At 44.2% G+C, this 12,910-nt stretch overlaps 1 protein-coding gene across 9 annotated transcripts in view; it reads right to left on the bottom strand.

The window, feature by feature from the left end:
• The window catches only part of ZBTB49 (zinc finger and BTB domain containing 49), a 31,533-nt gene extending 18,675 nt beyond the window's left edge, over positions 1 to 12,858 (bottom strand). For 5 of the 9 annotated variants that reach the window (NR_138481.2, XR_007096382.1, NM_145291.4 and 2 more), the window contains exons 1-3: positions 12,757 to 12,858; positions 3,012 to 3,182; positions 18 to 1,120 (exon numbers count right to left, since the gene is read on the bottom strand). Coding sequence is in view for 6 of the 9 variants with exons in the window: in NM_145291.4 (NP_660334.3) it covers positions 18 to 1,120; positions 3,012 to 3,163 (1,255 nt within the window). In the remaining 3 variants the exon portion in view is untranslated. Of the gene's footprint in view, positions 1 to 17; positions 1,121 to 3,011; positions 3,183 to 12,756 lie in introns of those variants that run through there. The other 4 variants (NM_001330625.2, XM_047449707.1, XM_047449706.1 and 1 more) reach the window with 2 other exon arrangements.
• Between the last annotated feature and the right edge of the window lie 52 nt (positions 12,859 to 12,910).

The following is a 12,910-nucleotide window of genomic DNA, read 5'->3' as shown; positions in this document are numbered from 1 at the left end:
GGTACTGAATCAGTTACCTGTATGAGACCGTTTGTGAAGCTCCAAGTTGCTTGGGTGTTTAAAAGGTTTCCCGCATAATTCACACGCGTATTGTCTCTGGGACTGAAGTGTCTGGGACTGGTCTTCCAGGGCAGCCGGGTCTTCAGGCCTCTCCGTCTCACTAATGCAATTAAAATTCTCACAACTGACGACTTCTTCACTTTCTTTTTCTTCAGCACTTTGGCTGCTAGCTTTCTCTAGGGTATTTTTACTAGCAGATTCCAACCTCTTTGTCAAACCATCATCTGACTTGGGTTCAGATACTTGCTCTGCGTATTTCTGTGACTTCAGGAAATTGAGCTTCTTCAGATGAATGGCCTTTTTGAGCCTCATCTGCTTGACAGGTTGTTGGCATGTGGCGTCTGACTCAGGGTGTGGGGCAGAGTCATTCACAGGCTGGGCCAGGAAGTTGGAAGGTAAGTGCTCGGGAGACTCCAGGATGCATTCAGAATGACTGACGGCACAAGGCTGGCTCTCTACCGTGGTAAGGTCTGTAGAGGTGCTGAAAGCAAAAGGCTGCTCAACAACTCTCTCCTGACTGGGACCAGCTGCGTGTTTATGGTACTGCTTACTGTAAAAGTTTCTGAGTTTGTAATAGTAATTTGGCTGTTTGAAAGGCAGTTCTGTGCAGCTGCCATCTGAAGTATCAGGAGCTTGTTTTGAGATTTCACCTGCGGAGTGATGACGATTAACTGATGGTGAAGCATGCGGATGCGATTCATCCAACGTTTTGTTCTGCTGTGCATCTGCTGAACATTCCTGCAGTAAATGAGGGGGGTAGTTTTCACTGATAACACAAGTGGCATCTGGGGTCAGGGTGCTTTGTAGAGACAATGTACTATTACAAGGCATGCCAGGTGGCTGTACTACAGTGGCTGATTTTAAAAATGTGTGACACAGACTCAGAACATTTTGAACTTGCAAACACTGTGCTGTGTCCAGCATTACTTGTATATTGTCCTGGTTAAGATCTAGATGAGAAGTGTACATGAAGTCCAGGATCTGCCCTATGCCACTGACATTTTTAACATCCAAGTGAAAAACATCATTCTTCTGGCTTGAAGAATTCTGAAAGAGGCTCCTGGTAAAAGAAAGAATATCTGTTTACAGTGCCAAAAATTCACACCATCTTTTTCTTATAAATAACATTCATATATTAATATTAAAAAATACTATCCTTCTGTGAATGTCAAAACTTTTAACATAAGTACATTTTAATCCTTTAAAACAACCTGGCAAACCATCCAACTAAATAATTCAGATGAATTAAATTGGTGGATTGGGTATGCAGACTTCAAAATATATCTCAAAGTAAATTTTGAAATATACTCAAATTTACACAATAAAAAATTACATACATTTATATGACTGATAAACCACAAATCAAGAAGTTTCTAAGATAATTCCCAATATGATCTAAGAAATAAAAGATTGCTCTAAATATTTTTTCGAAAGGTAATTATCCATATATATTAAATACATACTAATAGAGTACACAAAATTAAATAATATATACTTTTCACTATTTCATAGTCTGACAAGTATTATATTTTAGGCCATAAACCATATACACAAATATTTCCACATCTAAGTGCCTAGAAAACTTAAAAAAAAATAGCTAGAATAAACCAACCCTCCACATACATTCCTTTGTAACCAGTAATTTATTTGGCTGTTAGGTTTTTCAGCCAGCCAGTGGTTCAAAAACCAACAGTGAGAAAAACCCTAAGAGTTAGTGAAGACCAAAATGCACTCTAAAGCCCAGGCACTTTATTCTGGGTACAAGCCAAGGTCACAGGTGAACAAATTTGTATTATGTATGAAATAATAAGCTCAGGTAAGTAAGTTGAAGACATTTTGTCAAATACAATCACCTATTTCCCCCAAACAGCCTTCAGTTCTGTTTTTAAGCGCAAAACAGCCTGTGTATCACAATATCAAAATTTAACTGTCCTGGGAAGACAGAAAAAACAGGTGATAGCAAACCCAAGAGTTTGCGACCATTTTTCCTAGGAACAAAACCTGCTACCTACCTTAAGAAGCTGATTCATTACAATGTGTAATGTGGTCTATACAATAACTGAGACTCAATTTGATGATTCAGGATTATCAAGGAAAGAGCAAATCATGTCCCACGTTGTCTACTAGAGCAGTAAAACGGTATGCATTTTGGAAACAAAAAGTACTTTAAAAAAAAAAGACTTTGTATTTAAAGAGAGAGAAACCTGCTAACAACAAAATGAACTTATGCAGAATCACTTAACTCTAACAATTTTTTTTTTTTTTTAAGAGACAGAGTCTCCCTCTGTTGCTCAGGCTGGAGTACAGTGGCATGACCACGGCTCACTGCAGCCTCCAACTCCTGTGCTCAAGGGATCCTTCCACCTCAGCCTCCTGAGTAGCTGGGAATACAGAATAATGTTTAAATAAGCTGAAACACAACTTCTTAGTATTATTATTTATAAATAAATATTTCATATAAGCCAAAATGATTATAAGGTTTTCTTAGAATATTCAAATGAGAAACAAAAACTAAAATGCTTTAATTAAGAAAAAAAAGAAAAGAAAAATCCAACACCAAATATGTTTTTCCCCTGATTTCTTATCACAGAAAAATTCTGACCGGGAACTTAATTCCTCCATCATTTTATCTTGAAAGGATAAGAAATATATGTAGAAGACTGACATTAGCCAGAATTAGTAAAATGAAAGACAAACAACCAAAATACTTTCAATCATCCCAAATTCATTTTACTTAAGAGCCTCTTTTCTTTTCAGGTTACTCTAAACACAAAAGCAAAAATAATAAAAATGGTTAACAAACTTAAAAATTAAAACAACTCCTACAAAATCCAATGTGCTATAAAAGATAAAGATAGTGAAATCCAAGGAGAACAAAATATGAATACTTCCATACTAAAAGAGCTTTACCCTTAATTCACAGCTAGGAGAATGAAGTCTAAAATACCCACCTAAAATACTGGCTGAATGCTGCCAGGACATTCTTATGCGCTTTAAAGCAGACTCCTTTTACCACCAACATACAGTCACAAAGCAGGCCTTGGATTCGCTGCTCATGCAGTTGCTGGAGCAGATGGCAGCTGTGGGTAGCAACAGGGTCCATGCTCAACCATTCAGGTGACCTACAGCAAAAAATCACAGATACGACAGATATTCTTAAGGACCTCACTGGAAACTAAATGGGACTGAAACTTACTGATTGATCTGTGCTTCACTCTCTCATCACAGTTTCTCTCTCACACACACACACACACACACACACACACACACACCTCTGTTTCTGAGGCATCTAGACCGCTGCTGTTCAACAGAATTACCTGTCATGATGGAAATGCTCTCTATCTGCACTGCTCAATACAGTAGCCACTGGCCACACATGGTCACTGAGAACTTGAAATGTGGCTGAGGGATTGAAATTGTAATTTATATTTTAAAAGCCACAGAATTTAAACAGTACAAATCTAGAATATGACCATGTTAATATTGTATGTACTTCTCGGTATCTACTTAGGAATATGTCAAATAAAAATTAAAATAATATACACATACATAAAAATGTATAAGGTGAAAGAAAAGCCAGCTGGTTAAGATCAAATCCATATTTATCAAACACCTGTACACAGGTCACTGAATTAGAAGTCGGGGAAATTAGGAGCCTATTTTGGGAGATAAGGTACAGGTCAAAATACCTAACATCACCAGACAATGATATAAGAGACATCGCAAAGAAGCAGGTCCCCTCACTCGTGCCTTTGTGCCTCCCTAAGAGGCTACTTGGTCAGATGCCTGAAGGAAGGGAAGGAGCTGTGCAGGTACCTGGGCCAGAAAGAACAGCAAGCACCAAGTCTCTGAGGCAGGAGCTTGCTGGGCTCAGGTGTGGCTGAGTGAGTGGCAGGAGATGACATCCTAGAGGGGACAGAGGGTCAGGTCATGCCCAGGCCTGCGGGACTTGTTATGAACCCTGACTCTGATTCCAAATGAGATGGGAAGCCATTGTGTAGACACTGCAAGCTTCAACCTTCAGCCTCTGTTCTCCAACTGACTACTGTGTGCCAGGCTGTAGGGTCACAGCAATGAACAAAACACGCCAGGTCGCCACTCTCATGCAGCTGAAATTCTAGTGAGGGAAACACACACACGAAAGTGCCTGATGCACGACTAAACAAAACAGTTAAGAGCTAGACACTGGTATACACAGGCCAGTAAGCCACGGTCTTGGATGTCTAGGGCGCAGTCTAGTAGGGGATGATTTATGGAAGAGAAATAGTTGGAAGAAATGGAACCAGTTTGGGACAAGACTATGAAGGTTAGGCAGTCTGCACTAGGCGTGGTGGTTCACACCTGTAATCCTAACACTTTGGGAGGTTGAGGCAGGAGGATCACTTGAGTCCAGGAGTTCGAGATCAGTCTGGCAACACAGTGAGACCCTGTCTCTATGAAAAATAAAAACAAAAATTAGCTAGGCATGGTGGCACATGCCTGTAGTCCCAGCTACTTGAGAGGCTGAGGGAGGAGGACTGCTTGAGGCCAGAAGGTTGAGGCTGTAGTGAGTCATGATGGCACCACTGCCCTCGCCCTCCAGCCTGGGTGACAGAGAGAGACCCCATCTCAAAAAAAAAGGCAGTATGGTACTAAAAATCTAAAAAGGCATCATCTGCTTTTTTTGCCTTCATTCTCAGTACTCAAGCATGGCTGAAAAAGTCACTACAATACTAATCCCAAATCTAAGCTTTTCAACACACCCCTTACTTCTCACTTAGACTTATCTCCCATTACTCCAAGTATGTGGCAGCCAAAGTGAACTACTAGCAGCTCCCCAAACCACCTATGTTCTTGGCCAGTGGGTTGGAGACCTAGTTCCACCACTCACTGGCTATATGACTTTGGGCAAATGACTTCTCTGTGACCCACTGTCCTCACCCTATCTCACAGGTTATTGTGGTTACCTGTGTAAACATTTAGACTAGTATCTGGCATATGGAAGGATTCTGTAATAATCCGTAAGGATCACCTGGGGAGCTTGTTAAAAATGCAGATTCCTGGGTACATCCCAGGGTTTTGTTCTGTCAGTCTACAGGGGAGCCTGGTAACCGCATCACAGGCATTCCGGTGATTCTGAGCAGGCGGACTGCAGATCTCTGCCTGCGCTCTCCTCTGAAAGCCTTTGGTTCTGTCCTGAGAATACTTTACTTATACCTGACCCTCCCACCTTCCAGATCAGGGCTTAGGTGAGCTGTCACCTACTTTCCCACCATTCTTTTTTTTTTTTTTTTTTGAAACAGGATCTAGCTCTGCCACCCAGGCTACAGTGCAGTGATGTGATTAGAGCCCACTGCAGTCTTAACCTCCTGGGCTCAGGTGATCCTCCCACCACAACTGTGACTACAGGCATGTGCCACCATACCTGGCTAATTTAAAAAATTTTTTGCAGAGATGGGGTTTTGCTACATTGCCCAGGCTGGCCTTGAACTCCTGGGCTTAAGCAATCTGCCTACCTCAGCCTCCCAAAGTGCTGGGATTAAAGGCATGAGCCACTGCACCCAGCCCCATGATTCTTAACCCGCTCTGGGTTTGGGGTTGCTCCTCTGTGATCTTCCCAGTGTCTTCATTCCCATCACGTCTCTTTCCCTCACTCATAAAAATGGCTGTGACTTAAACTTCACTAAGAAGGCTGAACCCAGTCGGGCGCAGTGGCTCACTCCTGTAATCCCAGCATTTTAGGAGGCTGAGGTGGGGGGATCACCTGAGGTCAGGAGTTCGAGACCAGCCTGGCCAACATGGTGAAACCCTGTTTCTACAAAAATACAAAAATTAGCCAGGCATGATGGCGAGTGCCTATAATCCCAGCTACTGGGGAGGCTGAGGCAGGCGATTCACTTGAACCCAGGCGGGGGAGGTTGCAGTGAGCTGAGATCGCGCCATTGCACTCTAGCCTAGGCGACAAAGCGAGACTCTGTCTCAAAAAATAAAAATAAATAAATAAAATAAAAGAAGGTTGAACCGATGTATAACTTGATAACCATAGTGCCTTAAATTTTTCTCAGTTCCAAATTTCCCACTCACCCCTCCCTCATTCCCTTAGGCTTCATGGGATGAAACATGCCTCCTCCTTCCCAAGATGAACCTTCCCTCTCCCCTTGAGCCTTCCTGCCTCCCCTAGAACCTGGTTCCATCAGCGAAGCTTTCATTGCTTCACCCTGTCCTTTGGTGGCTCCTCCACACAAACACACTGACATTGCCCCATGTTGAAAACAAAGCAAAACAGGGTAACGACAAAGCCCTCCCCCTAGGTTCCTCTAGTCATCACAGGTCTCTCTTTCATACTTTTCAAAATAGCTATCTACATGCCCCACTTTACTTTCTCATGACTCCTTTCTCACCTTGTGTATTAGTCCGTTTTCATGCTGCTGATAAGGACATACCCAAGACTGGGCAATTTACAAAAGAAAGAGGTTTATTAGACTTACAGTTCCACATGCCTGGAGAGGCCTCACAATCTTGGCAGAAGGTGAAAGGCAAGGAGGAGCAAGTCATGTCCTACATGGATGGCAGCAGGCAAAGAGAGCGCTTGTGCAGGGAAACTCCCGTTTTTAAAACTATCAGATCTCATTCACTGTCATGAGAACAGCGTGGGAAAGACCCACCCCCATAATTCAATCACCTCCCACCAGGTTCCTCCCATGACATGCAGGGATTGTGGGAGTTACAATTCAAAATGAGATTTGGGTGGTGACACAGTCAAACCATATATCACCTTGCAACCTTGCTGCCACTCACTCCACTGAAACAGACTTTCCCGACAGTGACTTTTCCTCAGTCCTCAACCATCCTCTCCAGCTTTCCTGCCACACATGGCAATGTGGTCTGCCAACTCCCATCCTGAAATCCCTCCTGTCCCAGAACTCTTCTGGTTCTCTTCCTATGTCCCTGATCTGTCCCATCCCTATCCTGTACCTGTCTCCCTCAAGCCTTGCAAACATTGATGTTCCTTAAGGTGCAGCACCATAGCCCTCTCCTCTTTCCCTTGACAATCACTTTCATTCTTGGCTTTTACATGTTCTAACACAATTCCTAAATTTGAAACTTTAGCTTCAGCTACCAGTTCTAATCTCCAACTCTCTGCTAAACTTCTTCAATGGCATGCCCCTTCAATGTAGAATCTCTAAATTTCATCCCCCATCACCTCACCTATCAAATCGAGACCTTATTCTGATTCCCCTCATCTCTTTATGGAAAGCTTTGTTTCTAACGTGTAGGGTTTGGGGTATTGGCATGATCTCCTGGTTTGAGATCTCCTGGTTTGAGATCAAAGTGAGACTCAGAGAAAACTGGGACAAAGAGCAACACTGAGGTACTGCCCCAAAAGAGAGTACAGAAAGAAAGGCACGATGGTAGGCGGCGAACACTGTTCCCAGTGCTGAATCCTCAAGGCTAGTAACAGCCAAGTGAGTAATCAGTTACCCACCCCTGCCAAGCTGGTTGCCTGAAAAGGCTTCTAAGTTTATCATTCTTTTAAACTATCATTTACTGACTATTTACCACAGACCTGTGCTAAGCATATCATATCTGATATGGCTTGGCTCTGTGTTCTCATCCAAATTATAATCCCCACATGTCAGGGGAGGGACCTGTTGGGAGGTGACTGGATCATGGGAGCAGTTTCCCCCATGCTGTTCTTGTGATAGTGAGTGAGTTCTCAGTAGATCTGATGGTTTAAAAATGTTTGGCAGTCCCTGCTCCCCCCACCCGGTTCTCTCTCCCCTGCTGCCATGTAAGATGTGCCTTGCTTCCCCTTCGCCTTCTGCCATGATTTTAAGTTTCCCAAGGCCTCCTCAGCAATGAAGAACTGTGAGTCAGTTAAACCTCTTTCCTTTATAAATTACTCAGTCTCAGGTAGCAACTTTATAGCAGTGTGATAATGGATCAATACAACATCCATTAACTGAAGCAAGTCTCTAAGAACCCAATTACCACCATTCACAAGAGAAACAATTAAGATATGGAGACTTTAAGTCACTTATCCAAGATCATACAACTATTATGTGCCAAAGGCAGGATTTGAATCCTGGCCCCCAAACACTGGAGTCTATGCTTTTATGCTATGCTATCGCCCACGGGAAAAAAGACATTAAACACACACACACACACACACACACACACACACACACACACACACGAAACCCTCCTCCACAGACCTGTTAAAATTAGGTAAAAATGTCTAATTATACAAATGTAAATGTCTAGGTATATTAGGTAAATGTCTAATTAGAAAATTAGACATTTTCTAGCTCTATAGAAGTGATAAAGGAAAAAGTTATTTGGAATGACCCCCAGAGTTATGATGCTAGGCAGTTATTAACTGTTACACAATTTACTTTTACTATAGGAATTAGAGGCTGGGTGCGGTGGCTCATGCTTGTAATTCTACCACTTTGGGAGGCCGAGGCAGGCGGATCACCTAAGGCTACGAGTTCGAGACCAGTCTAGCCAACACGAAGAAACCATCTCCACTAAAAATACAAAAATTAGCCAGGCGTGGTGACGCATGCCTATAATACCAGCTACTCTGGAGGCTGAGGCAGGAGAATCGCTTGAACCCAGAAGGCCGAGGTTCCAGTGAGCCGAGATTGCACCACTGCACTCCAGCCTGGGCAACAGAACGAGACTCCATCTCAAAATAATAATTATTATTATTCCATATCATTTTGTATAGTTCTCTAAATTACTTCATGATGTCAATCCTGTACCTCCCCAGTAAGGTTATAAAAAGGTCTGGAAACCCCAATAAGGTTATTAAAAGGTCTGGAAACCCCAATGAGGTTATAAAAAGGTCTGGAAAAAAAATTGTATCTTACATTTCTTATGTGTTCTGTCAATTATAAACAAAAATGTATCTTATACCTAATAATAGTAATGATTATGACAAATACTTATGTTTCCTAGATGCCAGGCACTATTCTAAGCCCTTTACACTTATTAACTCATTTACCATAAGATAGGTGCTACTATTATCCACATTTTACAGGTGAGGACAATGAGGAATTTGTCAGATTTAAGATGGCCACAAATTCTCCGATGATTCTCCCATGGGGTAGTGGAGTCTAGGTCTCCTTCCCTCCTGCACAGGCTCTGCCTTAATCAGATTCTGTGCTACAAAGCTGTGCTCATTTCCCAGGCCCAGGCCTTTAAAGAGCTAACAGCTTCCACTTCCCATCTTTCAGAACAGTGGCTATGGAAGGCCTGAGCCACCTGTAAGATGCCCAGCTAGAGAGAACACATGGAGACAGAGAAGGGTTCAGCTGGCTCCCAGGAAAGCCATCCTGACCTCTCCAGGCTGGCCCCTCCTCCAACTGAATGCCACTGAGTGATCCCAGTTGACACCACATAGAATTGAAGAATTTCTCAGCTGACACCTGCCTGAATACCTAACCTGCAGAATTATGAGATAAAATAGTTTTTGAGTCACTAAATTTGGGGGTAGAGTGTTACACAGCAACAGAAAACCTGACCATATACAGAGAAGATGGTCACACAGCTAAAAATAGGTAAGTAATAAGGGACAGAGGTGGGATTCAGAGCCAGGGAATCTGACACCAAAGCCGCATTCATAACCACTGTTTCCTTTGATCGGAATCAGCTGCCTCTTCAGTCTACTGCCTATGCCTGATTGTCCAGGTAATCCCACAGACAAGCTTTGCATTAAGGAACTGCACAATTCAGGACTAAGATGTGCTACACAAGGTGTTATAGCGTGAGAGAAGGAGCAGAAGGTTCTCTTCCATCTTTGCGACTAACTCACCTAGTGACAAGCAGTAAAAATTTTCTGTGGTGAAGACATGGACTCCATCTGTCTTATTGAACAATGTATCTCTGGTGCCTAGCAGAGTGTCTTTGACATAATAGGCACTCAATACATATTTCTGGATGGATGAGACTCTGGGCCTCAGTTTTTCATCTATAAAAATGGAGAGGTCCCCTATTGGACTAGATGATCTCTTTTAGAGGTTTTTTCCTAGTTCTAAAAGCTACAAATCTATACAAGGAATGTGATGGTGGAAAGATGGTATGAATGGCGTCAAAAAATGAAAATATGGGGGGAAAAGAAACAAGAAAAAGTTTAGATCAATGTGAATGAAGAAATGCTTCTAAAGAAAACAACAGCCAGAATGGAATTTCAACCTGCAGAGAGGACTCCTAGAGCAAAGGCCCCTCAATTCTACCAACAGGTCAAATACTACTGGATAGAATTTGTGGATGTTTTTTCAGCAGTGCCATTAATAGATTACTTCTCCAAGGGCCCACAGTTCACGCACCTTAAAGTCAAGCTTACCTCAGAGGGCTCCTAAGGAGTCTGCCCATCATCATACTTTCCAAATGGCTTACTTGTAGCTCCTCACCTCCACCCTACTCATAAAAGCACTGGCTTGAAGCAACAAACCTGGAATCTTGTCTTAGCTTTATGCTGACTCTTATCATACTGGGAAGGCCAATTGGGTTAAACAGATACTGTGTGCCTAACATGTGCAACAGATTGTCGCGAGGATGGAATGCTGACAAACGGAACAGATGTGTTCCCTACTCTTCACAGGCTCTGTGTCTCAGTTTTCCATCATTCACTTAACTTTACACAATGCCCATTATGCGCTAGGCACTGAAGGTACGATGGCAAACACATCAGATACGGTCATCCATGTCTTCATGAAGCATCAGTCTAGTGGGAAAAACAAGTATCGTTGCACTGTACCAGAGTTATTTTTTATTTTTTTCCGAGACGCAGTCTTGCTCAGTTGACCAGGCTGGAGTGGAGTGGTGTGCTTTCGGCTCAGTGCAACCTCCACCTCCTGGGTTCAAGCGATTCTTCTGCCTCAGCCTCCCGAGTAGCTGGGATTACAGGCATGCACCACCACACCCAGCTAATTTTTGTATTTTTAGTAAGGACGAGGGGTGGGGGTCTCACCATGTTGGCCAGGCTGGTGTCAAACTCCTGACCTCAAATGATCCACTCGCCTCAGCCTCCCAAAGTGCTGGGATTACAGGCATGCGCCACCACACCCGCCTAATTTTGGTACTCTTAGTAGAGATGGGGTTTACAGGGTTTCACCATGTTGGCCAGGCTGGTCTCTATCTCTTGACCTCAGGAGCTGCCTGCCTCGGCCTCCCAAAGCGCTGGGATTACAGGCGTGAGCCACCGCACCCAGCCCTGTACCAAAGTTATTAAATGGAGGAAGCAGAAATTAATTTGGGAGGGAGGGTCAGGGAAAACTTCCTGGAAGACACATCTATGCTGAAATGTGAGTTAAGTTTGCCAGACTAAAAAAATGAGAGGGCTCACTTTCTTTGAGTATTCAGGAGGACAAACAAACAAACAACAACAACCAAACCCAAAAACAGTACGAGAGCACAAACAAGACTGAAGTACACATATGTGCCCTGAACACAAAAAACATCTTGAGCACCCTGCTTTTAAGCCTCCTGGCCATTCTGTCACTTCTGTTGGAAAGTATTTCCCTCCTTGTCCATTTCTGTGAATTCCTTCTGTTATGGTTAAACTGTTCCCCCAGCACTCCAGAATGTGATTGTATTTGGAGATCAGGCTTGTAAGAAGGTAATTAAGTTAAAATGAGGCCATTAAGGTGGGCCCTAATACAACCTGACTGACGTTCTCATAAAGAGGAAATCTGGATGCAAAGAGAGACGCCAGAGATGTGAAAACACAGAGGAAAGACCATGCGAGGACACAGCAAGAAAGCAGCCACGTGCAAGCCAAGGAGAAATGTCTCAGAAGAAACCAAACCTGAAGACACCTTGATCTTGGACTTCTAACCTCCAGAACTGTGAGAAAATAATAAATTTCTGTTGTTTAAGCCACCCAGTATTTTGTTTGCAGTCCTAGCAAACTAATACACCTTCTATTCCAGGCCCAACACTGCTCACTTTCAGAGTGAAACCTTATCACCCATATACACACACCTTGGGAGTGAAGGTTTCTCACAATACTCTGTGCATCCTCCACTCAACTTTCATTCATTCATTTAAGCAACAAACACCTAGTGACCACCACTGTGTGCCAGACCCTGTTTTAAGGGCTGAGAAGAGCTAACGTTTATTGAGTACTTACTAAGTGGCAGCCACTAGTCTAAGCGATTTACATGCACCAACTCATGAAATACGACAAGGTTCCAGGGACGCAGGTGCCGCTATGACATTCGCTTTACAGATGCGGGGCTGAGGCACAAAGAGGCCACACCGTAATGAAACTGAGCTAGGCTGTGGGCTCTGTCGTCTTAAGCGCTACTCTCAACTACAGCGTGGAAGGAAACAGAAGCCGAGAGATGGGCAGCGCGTAGCGGAGGCGGGCCGGGCTGGCTTCCAGCGGGCAAAGCCTGGAGATGAGAGGGCGCGGGTGGGGTTTCCAGGCCGAGGAAGCTGCACCAGGGAGAAGGCCCGGCTCCCAGGCCCGGAACCTGGCCGTCTGGGTCTCAGTCCGCGTCCCCTGTGATGCCCGGCACAGAGCAAATGCTCGCTGACTCTCGCAGGAGCCGCCAACCCCCCGGGTATCCTCGAGTGCCCAGAGACGGGAAGGAGCGGTGGGTCCATGCCCTTCTGGGCCACCTTCGGGCGCCCGGCCTCCCTTCCCTTCCGGGCCATTCCCACCAGCGCCAGCCCCGCACGCCTTCGCAAGGCCGGCCACCTTACCCTCGGAGGCCGCTCTCTGCCCCGCCGCCTACTCTTCACCTGCAGCAGCTGCCTTCAAGGCCACTCGCAGCGATCCGCTGGCCGCGGAATCATCACGACAACGCCCCCTTGGCTTGCCGGAACCGCCTTCCTGCTTCCGTTGGCGTCACTTCCA

The sequence above is a fragment of the Homo sapiens genome, chromosome 4 (genome assembly GCF_000001405.40).
Source record: "Homo sapiens chromosome 4, GRCh38.p14 Primary Assembly".
NCBI lineage: Eukaryota > Metazoa > Chordata > Mammalia > Primates > Hominidae > Homo > Homo sapiens.
This window is presented reverse-complemented; position numbering and strand designations above follow the sequence as displayed.